Source organism: Homo sapiens, chromosome 2, assembly GCF_000001405.40.
Source record: "Homo sapiens chromosome 2, GRCh38.p14 Primary Assembly".
Lineage (NCBI taxonomy): Eukaryota > Metazoa > Chordata > Mammalia > Primates > Hominidae > Homo > Homo sapiens.
In genome coordinates this window covers 125,801,568-125,816,546 of record NC_000002.12, presented here as the reverse complement: position 1 = coordinate 125,816,546, position 14,979 = coordinate 125,801,568, and the positions used below count along the sequence as shown (strand labels likewise).

Here is a 14,979-nt window from a genome sequence, read left to right as displayed (position 1 = left end):
TCTGAATTTGCCAGCTACAAAAAAGTATAAAGAGCAAAGTTTAAATCCCCCAGATTCCTATGACATCCCTGCTCTAGAGCCCATTCCTTCAGCGGTTTTCCATTTCCCTAGGATAAGTCAGAACCCTATTCTCAGACCTCAACCCCATGCCAAAAGACTCCTGGAACCTGCCTTCCTGGCCAGTGAGTTGCAAGCTACAATCAGAGGTGACCACATCTTTCACTACACTAGACTGTTTTAACTTCAATGACCTTCTTTCTTTTGTTTGTTCTGACATTTTTTTCTAGATGCTTTGTCCTTTTATTCACTCTATACTCCATTTAGCTCATTAACTCTTACTTATCCATTAAGTCCTAGTGTTAGAGTCACCACAACCATTTTAGAGGGGTTATGGAAATATTTCTCCTGAGTACCTCCATAGTTGTTTTCAGGTAACATATTTCATAATACTTACTTTTTGTAATTGTCTAGCCATTTCTTGGAAACATTTTTGAAAGATCTCAGCAGAAAGATCTGTGTTTTGCTTATGATTGTATCCAATCTTTTGCCATGGAAACAAGTCAACAAACCAGCCAACAACTACATTCACTGGAAGTGAAAACCATGTCTGTCATTCTTCTCACTGTATCCCCAGTAGCTTTTACAGCATCCAGCTCATAGAAGGCACTTAATGAATGTGAGTTGAATCAATCATGAATGAATGGTTGAATACAAATGTATTTCCTACACAGATGCAATAACATAATATCTTGTTGAGCCCAGTTTACTTAAGTTTGCATTTTATCATGAGTTGAGACTCCCTTGCCATGAAAGCTCTTAAAAAAATCAGATATATCAATGTGATATTCAATGCAATAGACATAGTTACTTATTTTTTAATATTATTGAATGTCTTAGTTGCCCCTATATTTTACTTTAATAAACTGTTTGGGGCATATGTTCTTATATGTATTTCTAATTTCACCTTTAGACTAGATCCCTGTTCCGGACATCATTAGGTCAATGGCATACATCTTTTAACACTTTTAATTCTAATAATAAATTTTTTCCTAAAAGCATTTTACAGTTTATACCTAAGCAAACAGTACATACAATAATGTGTTTCACTACATCCTTTGAAATCTTGACTATTGAGCTTTGAATAGTGTTTAAATAACACTTGCAATTAAAAAAATAGTCAAAACATTTTCAAACATACAAAAGAGAAATTGTGCAATGAATCTTCATGGACCTGGCTTCAATAAAGGCCAACTCACTCATGGCAAATCTTATTTTCTCTATATCTCCACTTATTCATTCTGCCCCTAGAATAACTGTGAAGCAAATCCAGGCATCATACCATTCACCAATTAATATGTAGCTATGTATTTCTAATAGATAAAAGCTCTTCTTGTTAGCAAAACCACAATATTATCTCACCAAAACAAAATTAACAATAATTTCTTACTATTATTAAATATTTAGTGTTAAATTTGTGTATTTATGTATGGACGTGACTAATATTTCCTCATTTATGTTTTCAACAATGCAATGTTTTGTTGAAGATTTGTTTATTTGTTTCATAGAATTCCTGGCAGTCAAAATTTCAAAGAGTGGCTATTCATGGTAGTATTTTATACATTCCTCTGTCTCTTAGTTTCTGCAAATAGGTAGCCAGATTAATTAATTAATGTATTCATTTATTCATTGGTAAGCCTACTTTATAGGTACTATTGATAATTCAGGAAACTCATAATGTATGTTTATCTTTTTATTAGCAGTCATTGACAATGATTAGTGAAATCTATTCATTGATTTAGCATTGCAAGCTGCAATATTCAAACTTCAATATTTCTGTTTTACTTATTAGGTAGAATGCTTCTTTAAAAGAAACTTTTAATAAACTATTCAATTATTATAAGTTATAGTTCAAGCTGGAAAATCTGGATAAATGCTTGCTTCTTTCCCTTTATTTGCCAAATTTCAAGAATAATGGGTGGCTTCCTTGGAACTCTTGAAAGATGTCCAATAAAAGTTGCTTTCGAAGTATCATCAGAAGGTTACGGACTTACGTATCTAATGAGTTTGATCTAATGTTGTTATCGTACCCATAGATGTTCAAATCAACCTATAACTGGAAGTTAAAGTTCATTCAGGCTGGGTTCTGCCTCCTTTTGGTAGTAGTTTTTGACAGCTTCTTTCTGGCCTGGTTTGGTAAGAGGTTCCAGCTCTGTCTTGTACTTTTTCCTGCCCAATGAGTACTTTTTCCATGAACTTTTTGGGGTTTTCAAAATATATAATCATATTCATATCATAAGCACATGTAGTTTCATATTTTTTCTTTTTTATTTTAATGCCTACAATTTTTTTTCTAGTAAATTCAACAGCAAATATTGTTAACAAATACATTAAATATTAGTAAAGGTGATGGTCATCTTTATTTAGTTCCTGGTTAAAAAACCTCTTTTGTTTTCTCTTTAATTGAAATACTGGTTATGGTCTGAAAAACTTTTGCTTTTTTGATATCAAATTTATTTTTCCACTTAAAGTAATCCCAGTATACCACATCTTTCATTATATTTATCTTCAATATTCTTCCCTTAAATGAGGCAGATTTTCTTCAACATTTCAATAGCAAAAATACACATTTCTGCTCTCATGTTTTGTTCATGATGCTTTATCAGTTTTCTGGTTGGGCCTCCCTGCCAGGCCCACCCTGTCATTTAATTTTCATTTGTTCTTGAGTCTCCTATCAAATGTACTCTTTCTGAGATTAAAAAAAAAAAAAAAGAAAAGCTTAACATTCCCCTGAGGAAAGTGAGATATAATGTCTCTTTTCTGAAGCATGCCAAGTAAATTCTTAAATTGTTAGCATTTGATCCTAGTGTACTTTGCCCCGCTAGATCTAGGGTGGGAGGATGCTCGAATTGTCTTTCCATATAATGTCTGTATCCTGGAACCCAACATATGGCCTAAAAGAGAAGAGGTTGTCAGTAATCACTTGTATAATTGGTGATCACAATCTTTGTGAGATCCTGTCCAGTGATAATCCTCTGATTCTTTTCTCAACTCTCTGTAATTATAAAGATGATCAGCTTTAGCACACACACACAAACACACACACACACACACACACATTTAGCAAGTAACTGATCCTTAGTTACTTCTTATTTGCTAACTTTGTATTCACAATTTCTTATGCTCAAAAAAGGGTGAAAATACATTAGCTAAAGTAATGCTATCTTGGCTTGGCACCGTGGCTCACAGCTGTAATCCCAGCAGTTATGGAGGCCAAGGTGGGCAGATCCCTCGAGGCCAGGAGTTCTAGACTAGTCTGACCAATATGACAAAACCCTGTCTCTACTTTTTGTATTTTTGTATTTTAGTAAAATACAAAAATTAGCGGGTGGGGTGGTGCATACCTGTAATCCCAGCTACTCAGGAGGCTGAAGTGAGAGGATTACTTGAACCCGGGAGGCAGAAGCTTCAGTGAGCCGTGATTGTGACACTGCACTCCAGCTTGGGGGACAGAGCAAGACTCTGTTCCAAGAAAAATAAACAAATAAATATTTGGTTTAAAAAAGTAATGCTATCTCTTGTATCCTATAAACTCCAAAACCCAAAAATAACACAATGAAAATAGATTATTCAGCCAGGCACGGTGGCTCACGCTTGTAATCCTAGCACTTTGGGAGGCCGAGGCGGGCAGATTACAAGGTCAGGAGATCCAGACCATCCTGGCTAACACGGTGAAACCTCTTCTCTACTAAAAAATACAAAAAACTAGCCGGGCATGGCGGCGGGCGCCTGTGGTCCCAGCTACTCTGGACGCCGAGGCAGGAGAATGGCGTGAACCCAGGAGGCGGAGCTTGGAGTGAGCCGAGATCGCGTCACTGCACTCCAGCCTGGGCGACAGAGAAAGACTCCGTCTCAAAAAAAAAAAAAAAAAAAAAAGAAAATACATTATTCATGCGCATAAAAAGCCCAAACACACATGGCTATTGCTACAGCTGGAGTTTTTTTTTTTTTTTTTTACAACTTAGATGGAGTTTAGCTTTATTGAGGGTAGACCTTAAACACTCTTTACGTGGAGCTCTATCGGCTTGGGTCATTTGAATGGCCATGGTGGCCGGCAAGAAATTGACCAACTCTAAATATTGGTATAGCTTAGTGAAACTTTCGTTTATTACTAAAGATTTATCACTGCTGTTTCCCGTGGGGGTACGGTTGAGCAAAGTGTTTTGAGCTGCATTTGTGCGTGCTTGATACCTGCTCTTTTGATCCCGGTGATCTAGAGGGCATTTTCACTGGAGTGGGGATGCTTGCATGTGTAATCTTACTGAGAGTTAATAAAAATGCCAGGACCAAACCTATCTTTTTTGGGGGTTGTGCAGACCCACCTAGACGTTTTCAATGTCTTGCTTTGAATAATTAAACTACATTAACTGCATAAACACTTAAGTGTAAAAATGAAAATATGATAAAGAAAGAACTAAGTATAAATAGTCGTTTACAGTTCTGGAAATTCAGGGTCTTTAAAGTTGAATTGGCAGAGGTTTGGCTGAGAGGATTACTCATAATTAGAGTATGACTGATTTGGGATATGATATATGGGGCTGCGCTTTCAGAGGGATATGCTCAAGGTGTTAGTAGTAGGGCAGATATTTAGTTATTATATTTATTATACAAAATGGAGGATTAATTTAGTAGGAGGGTCCTAAGATTTTTTAGGAAAATTACATCAATCGAGGGGTAGCTGTTGGGGTGTTCGTGGTTAAAATATGATTTCTGGGCTCTGACTGGGTTGCATTTTAGTCTCTTGTTTTTGGGGTTTGGTAAGGGTATGTTTACCTACGCTGACGGTAAAGTCAGAGATGGGGGTGGTTTGCGGATCTAATCGGAAATAGTTCTTGAAATGGAGCGTGGCGAGACCATTCTGGCTAACACAGTGAAACCCCGTCTCTAGTAAAATTACAAAAATTCGCTGGGCGTGGTGGCGGGCGCCTGTAGTCCCAGCTGTTCTGGAGGCTGAGGCAGGAGAATGGCGTGAACTCCGGAGGCGGAGCTTGCAGTGAGCCGAGATCACGCCACTGCACTCCAGCCTGGGCGACAGAGGGAGACTCCGTCTCAAAAAAAAAAAAAAAAAAGAAAAGAAATTGAGCGTACGTACGTACGTATGTACGTGCGTGCGTGAGTGTACACACGTGCGTACGTGAGTCCCTATTGATTAACTGTTATGTCCTTCAAGCATGAATTAATTAACATCTTTTGGTTATTATATGCCACCCCGGAATATTCAATATAAGCTCAGCTTCTACAATTGATTCGTCAGTAATTAAATCCGAGTTTGCCTACAGTGGATTTGGCAGGGACCAGGCCTTCCGCGATGGTGAGTGACAGCATCCCCCAAAGTTAAAAATACCAAATGCATGACAGTGCTCCCGTGACTGGTTCATAGGGTGGTAGTCATTAGTCCATTGAGATGTCTTATTTAAGGGAACATGTGGGCGATCTTAGTTCTATGGCCCTAAAGTAAGAATCAGATGCCAGGTATAGTTTCAGTATAATCACCCCCAAGTATCATGGGCCTGGAGCGAGGAGGGTAGCACTCCCTAGCGGGATGATGATTTCTCGGAGGTTGGTAGATTAAGAGTCCAAAAATTGGTAGGGGACATCCACGTCGGCAAGGGACTTCTTGACTAAAACGTGTTATGTCCGATGAACGAATGTATGCACTATGTAATATTAAGGATTTGCAGTATGGATCAATATCCGTGTGGATTAGGTTTTATTGTACAGTCAATAATAGATGTGTGATAGTTGATTAGGGAATTCTTAATATGTGCTTCTATGTACGTGGACTAGGTTTGTAATGTAAAACTATATATGAGTGTACTATGTAAGAATAAACAATTATAGTACTATTTATTATCCATGGGGACTAGCAGTAATGCACCAAGTACATAAAAGCACCAAATAGTGACTCAGTAGCCCAGGCTTTGTACATCTGTGCACTTTCCAATTCCCTCATGGTCTAAGGTCCTCTGCTGGATCTCCTGCACCCAGCAAGCACATGAAGAGAGGATGAAGCAGGTGTGCCTTAACCAAGAAGTAACCCTTATCATTCTGCTCACCTTCCCATTGGCCAAGAATCTGCTACCTGTGCTCAAGAAGATGCACAGCCCTCTGGGGAATAAGGTTCATGGCTGTGCAGTCTCTTCTCAGAAACCACACTTTTTAATGGAAAAGGAGCAGGTGTGTTTTGGTGTCAGATAGCCATCTCTGCCTCTGTGAACAGCTGTGATACTTCTCTTTTCAACCTACCAAAACGAGGACCTACATATAGTACATGCTCAAAAAGCATGCTTTGTTTTAACTGTTTAAGTTATTTAGAGCATATAATCCATAGAAAAACTTCAGTTATTAAATGCAAAGTGTCAGGAACTTGAGGATTGAACTAAGACGAATAAATTGATTCAGATTCATTTGGTATCCACAAACGTGCATTTGTGTGTATAAGAAGATTCAGAGACCTAACTTATAAGTTTTTTATACATATAAATGATGGACTATTTATATAGCCATGGTTTGTTTGTGTTATCTATGCATTCCATCTATATATTCATGTAAAATTTAAACAGTGATTACACATATTCTTCCACTGGGTTTACAAAGACAGATGTACAAAAATAGTTTTCTCACCATACCATAGTTTTAATGGCAAAAATAACAATAATCTCTATGTCCTCAAATAGATGATCATTTGCATAAATTATAATCCAGACAAAAAAGTAAATATCATACAGATATTAAATATTTTGTCCATGTGCAAACTATTTGATATGTAAACTACTTTCAATATATTCTTATAGGAACAGATCTTAAAATATGATGCATAGTATAATTTGATTTTTAAAAATCATGTATAGTGTATTAGTTTTCTGTTGATTGATAATGTATTACAATTTTATCAGCTTAAAATAATACCCACTTATTATATAATAATTGTATAAATCAGAAGTCTACCACAATATATTCAATTCTCTATTCAGGGTCTTACAAGGCCAAAATCAAGGTGCTGGAAGACTGCAGACTTGCATTTCTTTCTGCAGGCTGTGAAGAAGAATTACCTTTAAACTCAAGTTGTTGGCAAAATTCAGTTCATTGTAGTTGTACGATTGAGGTCTCTGTTGCCCTGACACATGGATCCCTCCCTCTTCAAGCCTGCAAAAGCAAATGGAACCCTTCTTGGGCTTCTTAACTCACACTCTCACTCAACTGTCTGAATTACTCCTTCTTTTAGACAGGGTTTTGCTCTGTCACAGGGTTTTGCCTCTGGCTGGAGTGCAGTGGCATTATGGCATAATCACAGTGGCACAGTCACAGTTCACTGTAGCCTTGGTCTCCCAGACTCAAGTGAGTAGCTGAGATCACAGGCATGTACCAGTGCACCCAGCTAATTTTTAAATGTTTTTTGTACATACGGGGTCTTGCTATGTTTCTCAGGCTGCTCTCAAACTCGTGGGCTCAAGGGATCATCTTGCCTTGGCTTCCCAAAGTGCTGGGCTCTCCTGCTTTTAAAGGCTCAAGTGATTACATGGGACCTCCCGAGAGAACTCTGAAAAATCTTCCTATTTTAACGTCAACTGATCAGTCTCCTTAACTACATCCTCAAAGTTCCCTTTTCCACTTAGGGTAACATATTCACAGTCATACGTTTTTGACTGTGGAGCCTTTTTGGGAGCCATAATTCTGCCTTACCACACACATTATTATTATCAATAGCCAAAACAATTTACAACATGAAGTTTGTTACTTTATTAGAATAGTGGTATTACTGGTGATTCTTTTTTCTCTGTTTTTTTTGTTCTTCATTCAAGGGAACATGTTATATGTGGGTGTTTTAAAAGAAATATCAGAAGAAATGATAGCAGGCATTATTTATGTTTAGCAGAAGAAGATTCTTCAATCTTGACAACTACCCATGGACACAGTGTTGCCGACTTTGTAGTTTGAGTCTAAACACATGCTTTCTGAGGACTTTTCTAATTTTATTCCCCTGGAGCCCGAGTGTGGGACAAGGCCTGCCTCTCAGGAGCTCACGTGAATGGGTTGTCAAGAACTGGTGTGAAATGGGCTGTGACAGAACAGGTCTAATGATACTAATGTCCAAAGCCCTAGGTTTATACATGGGCTTCTCACAAAGGTGTAATGAGACAGGTATCTCTGCAGGCAATTGGATGTATCCAGGCCATGTAATGAGATATTGGGCTGGAAAGCTGTAATGAGGTGCTTGGCTGCAACTGTAATAGGATCGCTTGCTGGGATTATATAATTAGTCATTTAACTTGGTGTATGCAATGAGGGGTGTGACTAGTAGCATAATTAGTTTGGGGGTTAGGAGAGAGTGATGTACTGTGTGACTGCACTGCAAAAAATGGTCAGGTAAGACTTACGGCAACATGTGTGCATTTGGGATGATGTGCACACTACAAGGGAAGTGAGTCCCGCAGACAGTGTTCTACTGGGACAGGAAGGTGGTATGGTCTCTTGGCAGTATGTGGCCATTCACTAGATGGAATGAAATGCAGCATGAGGCTACAGAAACAAATGTAGGTATGGCAGAGGGGGTAGAGGATAGACTCTGGGTACAGGTTTTCCGGGCTAGGATCCCTGTTCTATGATACCACAACAATCACAGGCAAGTCACTTACACTCTTCCTGCCTCTATTTATCTGTAAACTCACCATAACAATAGTAATTTTCCCTTAGGGCTGTTGGGGAAATCGCATGAGTCAATCTATAGAGCATGTTTCATCAGTGTCTGGCATATAGGTAAGTGCTCTCTCCATATGTTAGCGTTTATGCTATGTCAGGAGCTAGAAGAGCGTTTAATCTTTTTGATAACTCAGCATGCAAACAAAGACTTGGAGGGAATCAGTTACTTGTCCCAAATCACACAACTAAAGGCTGGCAGGAAAGAGATCTAACAGGTGATAGTGAAAGGTTTCTGGTTTGGAGAGTATAATGTCCCACGCTGAAAGAGAAGACTGGACGCTTGTGACCCAGCTTCTTTGGGAAGCTATGAGACAAAAAGTCCAATAAGCCATACATGAATCGGATACAGCAACTGGAATTCAGATACAGGACTGTCTGCTCCTGATCCTGGGATATGAATGCCACCCTTGCCCACACTTGGGTAGTTTCTTCATCTTTATAGTAGGGAATGATATCCCTATAGGTGGCTTCAACATTTCAAACTGAAAAAAATATATTACAGGGCTTGGAATAGCATTTGTTACATGATAATTTTTGCTTAGGATATTTGACTGTGAGTAACAGAAAATAGGATCAAAAGTAACTTAAGTGGTTGAATTATCACTAAATCAGAGATCTGGGTGTAAGCAAACTGGATACAATGTGGCATTACACTCGTGTTTTTAAAGACTCAAGCGATTTCTGTTTTTCTTATCTGCTGTGCTTATCATAGTCTCTGTACTAGTCACTACATGTTACCTGTGCCACTTAGCGTCCTATCTGGTGTGCATAAAGACAGAAGATGGAAGAATGCAATGTGAAGGGCACAAGGCCAGCTATATCTATCAGTTAGTCTACCCCATTGCAAAAGCTTCTTCAAGTTCCAACCTGTGACTTCTGATTACTTCTCATTAGCTACATGGGAGGCCGAAAGAGTAAGTTTGTTAGCCTTCCAATATACATATACTGGTGTCTTAATGGCTTTCTTTTGGATTGGTAGATGGTCTTTATTTATAAGGATATTACCTTTTCTATCATTTCATCTATCAATATTGAGATATGCCTCAATGACAGAGTAATTGGCTTGCCATTAGAAAACTGGTAAATTAATAAAACTCTCATGGAAAAAAAGTCATGCTGAATACAGTGGAACTGCTATTCTATATGATAATCACATTCCTGGGACCTTTCATAGGTCAGGCTACAAATCGAACAAACACTGCTTTTTCCAAAGCATATTTGACATTTCTTCTTTTACTTCTACTTACAATGGGAGGAGCTACATTTTCATAGTACAAACCCAATAATGGTTACATAACAAAAATAAGCCAGAAAATTGATTTATATCTGTGAATACAAAAGGTTAAAACTCTGAACATTTCACTAGAAGCATTTTACAAACAAAAATTTCACAGTGGTCCTTAGCTGTATCTCCACAGAGCCATTGGCAGTCTCTCTTCTTCATCTCTTTCTCTAAGCTTGAAAAAGAAATTTATTACACAGTAAGTATGAATTGTCTCTCTGACAGAAATCTTCACCTGAGACTGGGCACTGCTGTGAATTTCTCTTTTGATGATGAAAAGATTATGGTAGATAATGTATTATTCAGGTTAGTCTAAGTTAGGCTGCAGTAAAATAAAACCTCCAAATTCAATAGCTTATCAAAATCAAAGGACTATTTTTTATGCATGCTAGGTGCCCAAAGAAAGTTGGCTGGGGTGGGAAATCTCCTCACCAAAACCTCTCAGGGATGCAGGTGAACAAAGGCATCATCATTATATTATATCATTTTCTCAATACAAGGCTCTGGATTCATTACAGCATTCATAGAGCGGGATGAAGAGTCAGGGACAGATAATTAAATGCTTTAGTCTGGGAGTGACATGTATTGTTTTTCTTCACATTTCTTTAGCCAGAATCAGTCACATGGCCACGTTCCTAGAAATAAGGAAGAACTGCGTGGTTAACATTGGTTAAATCTCTCTCTGCTATTTTTCTGCTTCATTTTTACCAACTCCTAAAAACAAATAGAAGAGGTTATATTTGTTCTCTTCACTTCCTCACTTTTGCTCTGGCTCTAATCCTGTGCAAACTTATTTCTAACTCCACTCACCCTCCACCCCCAGAGAAAGAGCTAATATAATGGTCACCAAGAACTGACAAATCTTCGCTCCTTTGTCCTTAATCTGTGGAACATTTCCCAAACAAGTAACCCTTGTCTTTTAAAAATTATTTAAATTTAAATTGTTTAAAAATTCTATTCACTAGATATATGTTCTTTAAATTGTTCTCCAAGCTCTCCAGTATGACCCGGTTCCAAATTAATTCTCACCACATTTTATTCTTGGGCTTTTTATTCTCTTCTGTTTCGTTCGGCACTGTTTGCTCCTCCTAGTGCCTGCTTGCCTACTTCCCTCCCTCCCTCCCTCCCTCCCTCCCTCTCTCCCTCCCTTCATTTTTTTGTATTTATTTTCCATCATATTGTCATGCTTTTTCCATTTTTTCTCTTGTTTCTTTGGGAGTGTTTTTCTTATTTATTTAAAATTATTAGTAGTAATAAAATAATGATAAATGCTTAATAAAGCATTTTTTAATACTTTGGGTGCTTTTGTATGCACTTTCTAATGTTAATCAAATTAATTCATTGAACAACTTTTTTTAAACATCTTAAACATATTAAGTTACAGTTCAGAGGCATTAAGTACATTCACATTTTTGTGCAACCAGCACCACCATAGAACATTTTTGTCTCCCCAGACCCAGTCTCCCTACCCATTAAGATCATATAACTCCATTTCTCAATTTCCACCCGGGTATCACCATTACACTTTCTAACTTTATGAAATTGGCTGACCTACATACATTATGTAAGTGCAGTCACAGAGTATTTGTCCTTTGGTGACTGACTTATTTCAGTTAGTGTAATATCTTCAAGGTTCATCTATACTGTAGCATGTGTCAGAATTTCTTTCCTTTTTAAGCCCTTACAATATTCCATTGTATGTTTAAAACACATTTTGTTGGTCGGTCACGGTGCCTCACGCCTGTAATCCCAGCACTTTGGGAGGCCGAGGCGGGCGGATCACGAGGTCAGGAGATCGAGACCATCCTGGCTAACAGGGTGAAACCCTGTCTGTACTGAAAATACAAAAAATTAGCTGGGCTTGGTGGCCGGCGCCTGTAGTCCCAGCTACTCGGGAGGCTGAGTTAGGAGAATGGCCTGAACCCGGGAGGCGGAGCTTGCAGTGAGCCTAGATTGCACCACTGCACTCCAGCCTAGGTGATAGAACGAGACTCTGTCTCAAAAAACAAACAAACAAACAAACAAAAAACACATTTTGTTTATCAACTCATCTGTCAATGAACACTTGGGTTACTTCAACCTTTTGAGTACTTGAGTAATGCTGTTACAAACATGGGTGCACAAGTATCTTTTTTAGTTTCTGCTTTCAATTATTTTGAACATATATACAGAAATGGAAATTCTCATAATTAAATTTATATTGATGTTCAAGGTAATTCTATTTTTAATTTTTTGAGAAACCACCACACTGTTTTCCACAGTAGCTGCATTATTTTACCTTCCTATCAACAACAAACAAGAGTTCAGTTTTTCCTCATCTTGTAAGCACTTATTTTATATTTTATTAATAGCTAGCCTAATGGGTGTGAAGTGGTATCTTATTATGATTTTGATTTGCATTTCTCTGATGATTGGTGATGTTGAGCAAGTTTTCATGTGTTTATTGGCCATTTGTGTATCCTATTTAGAGAAATATCTAGTCATGTTCTTTGTCAATTTTTTAATTGGGTTTCTTGGGGGTTTTGTATTATTGAGTTATCGTTTTTTATGTATTCTGGATAATAATTCTGTATCAGATATATATTCACAAATGTTTTCTCTCATTTCATGGTGATATGGTTTGGCTCCGTGTCCCCACCCAGTTTTCATGTTGAGTTGTAATAATCTACACTTGTCAAAGGTGGAATCAGTTGGAGATAACTGAAGCATAGGGGTGATTTCCCCCATACTGTTCTCGTGACAGTGAGTGAGTTCTCACAAGATCTGATGTTTTTTTAAGGGGCTTCCCCCTTCTCCCAGCACTCATTTTCTCTCCTGCCACCCTGTGAAGAGGTGCCTTCCACCATGATTATAAGTTTCCTGAGGCCTCCCCAACCATGCTGAACTGTAGGTCAATTAAACCTCTTTTTTATAAATTACCCAGTCTCTGCTATTTCTTCACAGCAGTGTGAGAATGGACTAATACAGATGGGTTGATTTATCACTCTGTTGATAGTGTCCTTTGATTCACACAAGTTTTAAATTTTCATGTAGTTTAATTTATCTGTGTGTTTCCTTGTTTGCTTGTGTTCTTGGGTCTTATCCAAGAAAATATTAAAAATCCCAAATCATGAAGTTTTCCCCTATTTTCTTGTGAGACTTTACTAGTTTTACCTTTTATATTTAGATCTTTGATTCATTGTGAGTTAATTTTGGCTTGTGATGTAAACAGGGGTCCAACTTCATTCTTCTGAATATATGTATAATTTTCTTAACATTGTAAGTTGAAAAGAGTATCCTTTTCCCATTGAATGATATTGGTCTGCTTGTCAAAAATTATTTGACTGTGTATGTGAAGGTTTATTTAGGGGCTGTTCATTGTATTCCATTGCTCTATACATCTGTCTTGATGCTGTTACCAAACTGTTTTGGTTACTATGGCTTTATAATAAGTATAGAAACCAGGAAAAGTGACACTTCCTATTTTGTTGTTGTTGTTGTTGTTGTTGTATTTCACAAGATTGTTTTAGCCATTCAAAGTTCCTTGAGATTCCACATAAATTTAAGAATTGATTTTTCTATTTCTTCAAAAAACATTATTGTATTTTTATAAAAATTGCTTTGAATGTGTAGGTCACTTGGGTAGTATTGAAACCTTCACATACTGTCTTCCAATCCATGAACACAATATCTATTTATTTGTCTTTAATTTCTTTCTGCACTATTTTATAGTTTTCAGGTTATGAATCTTTCACCTCCTTGGTTAAGTATATGTATGTTACGTCCAACTGGTCTATACTATTGTTAGAGTCCTATATTTCCTTATTTATATTCTGTCTGGTTGTTCTATCCATTATTGAAAGTGGGGTAGTTAAGTATCTTCTATGATTGTAGAGTTGTCTGTTTCTCCCTTTGATTCTGCAGTGTTTGCTTTATACATTTAAGGCCTCTGATGTGTGGTACATAATCATTTTAATTGTTATACCTTCTTGGTGTGTTGACCCTACTATCAGTATGTAATGTCTGACAGTAATGTATTTTGTTTCTTATAAAAATTGTTAACTTAAAGTCTATTTTTTCTAATATGGTTTACCATCCCGAGTTTTTTTTATTTATATTTGCAGGAAATATCTTTTTTTATCCTTTAATTTTCAATGTATGTGTCTATCCTTATATCTAAATTGAGTTTCTTTTAGACAGCATATTGTTGGATCCTGCTACTTTTTTAAAAAAACCTCATTCTCTCAGTTTATGTCGTTTTATTAGGGAGCTTAATTCATTCACGGATAAAGTTATTACAGAGAAGGAAAAGTTTACTTTTGATGTTTTGTTATTTGTTTTTCATTTGTGTTATAACATTTTAGATCTCTCATTTCTTCCGTTAGTGCCTTTCTTTGTGTTTAATTTTCATAGTAACATGTTTTGATTCCTTTTTCATTTTCTTTCGTGTGCATTCCATAAAATTTTTTAATAGTTACTCTGGAGATTGCATATGATATCCTAAAGTAATAACCTATTTTATACTGATAATCAATTAGCTTTGATCACATATAAAAGCTCTACTCTTTTGCAGGCCTACCCTCACCCACCACCTTCTCCTTTATGTTGCTGATGTCTTTACTTTCATCTTCATATGCTATGCCTTCATTATCACAGAGTTGTATTTAATGCTTGTGTCTTAAAACAATGTAAAACATGGATTTACAAACCAATATAAAATAGCACTGCTTTTGATATTTGCCTATTATTTTTAATACAAGACTTTAAATTTTCTAAGGATTTGAGTTAGTCTCTAACATTCTTTCACTTTAACTTGAATGGTAACTCACTTTAACATTTATTATAGGGAAGGTCTAGTGGTCATTAATCTGTACATTTTTGTTTATCTGAGGTTGTCTTAATTTCTCCCTAATTTTTATTGGAAATGACGATCTCAGTTGACAGGTTTTGTTTTTCCTTTT

General features: G+C 37.0%; 1 long non-coding RNA gene across 1 annotated transcript in view, besides 1 other annotated feature; it reads left to right on the top strand.

The window, feature by feature from the left end:
* Positions 3,729-3,929: a silencer, noted in NCBI's record as "peak3850 fragment used in MPRA reporter construct". NCBI's record gives its function as "represses an SCP1 promoter by STARR-seq MPRAs in K562 erythroleukemia cells {active_cell/tissue: K562}" and the evidence as "EXISTENCE:reporter gene assay evidence [ECO:0000049][PMID:32103011]".
* Positions 5,191-14,979, top strand: part of LOC124900611 (uncharacterized) — an 85,494-nt gene continuing 75,705 nt past the window's right edge. Inside the window, exon 1 of the long non-coding RNA XR_923296.2 lies at positions 5,191-5,368. This is a non-coding gene — a long non-coding RNA (uncharacterized LOC124900611). The remainder of the gene's footprint in view (positions 5,369-14,979) is intronic.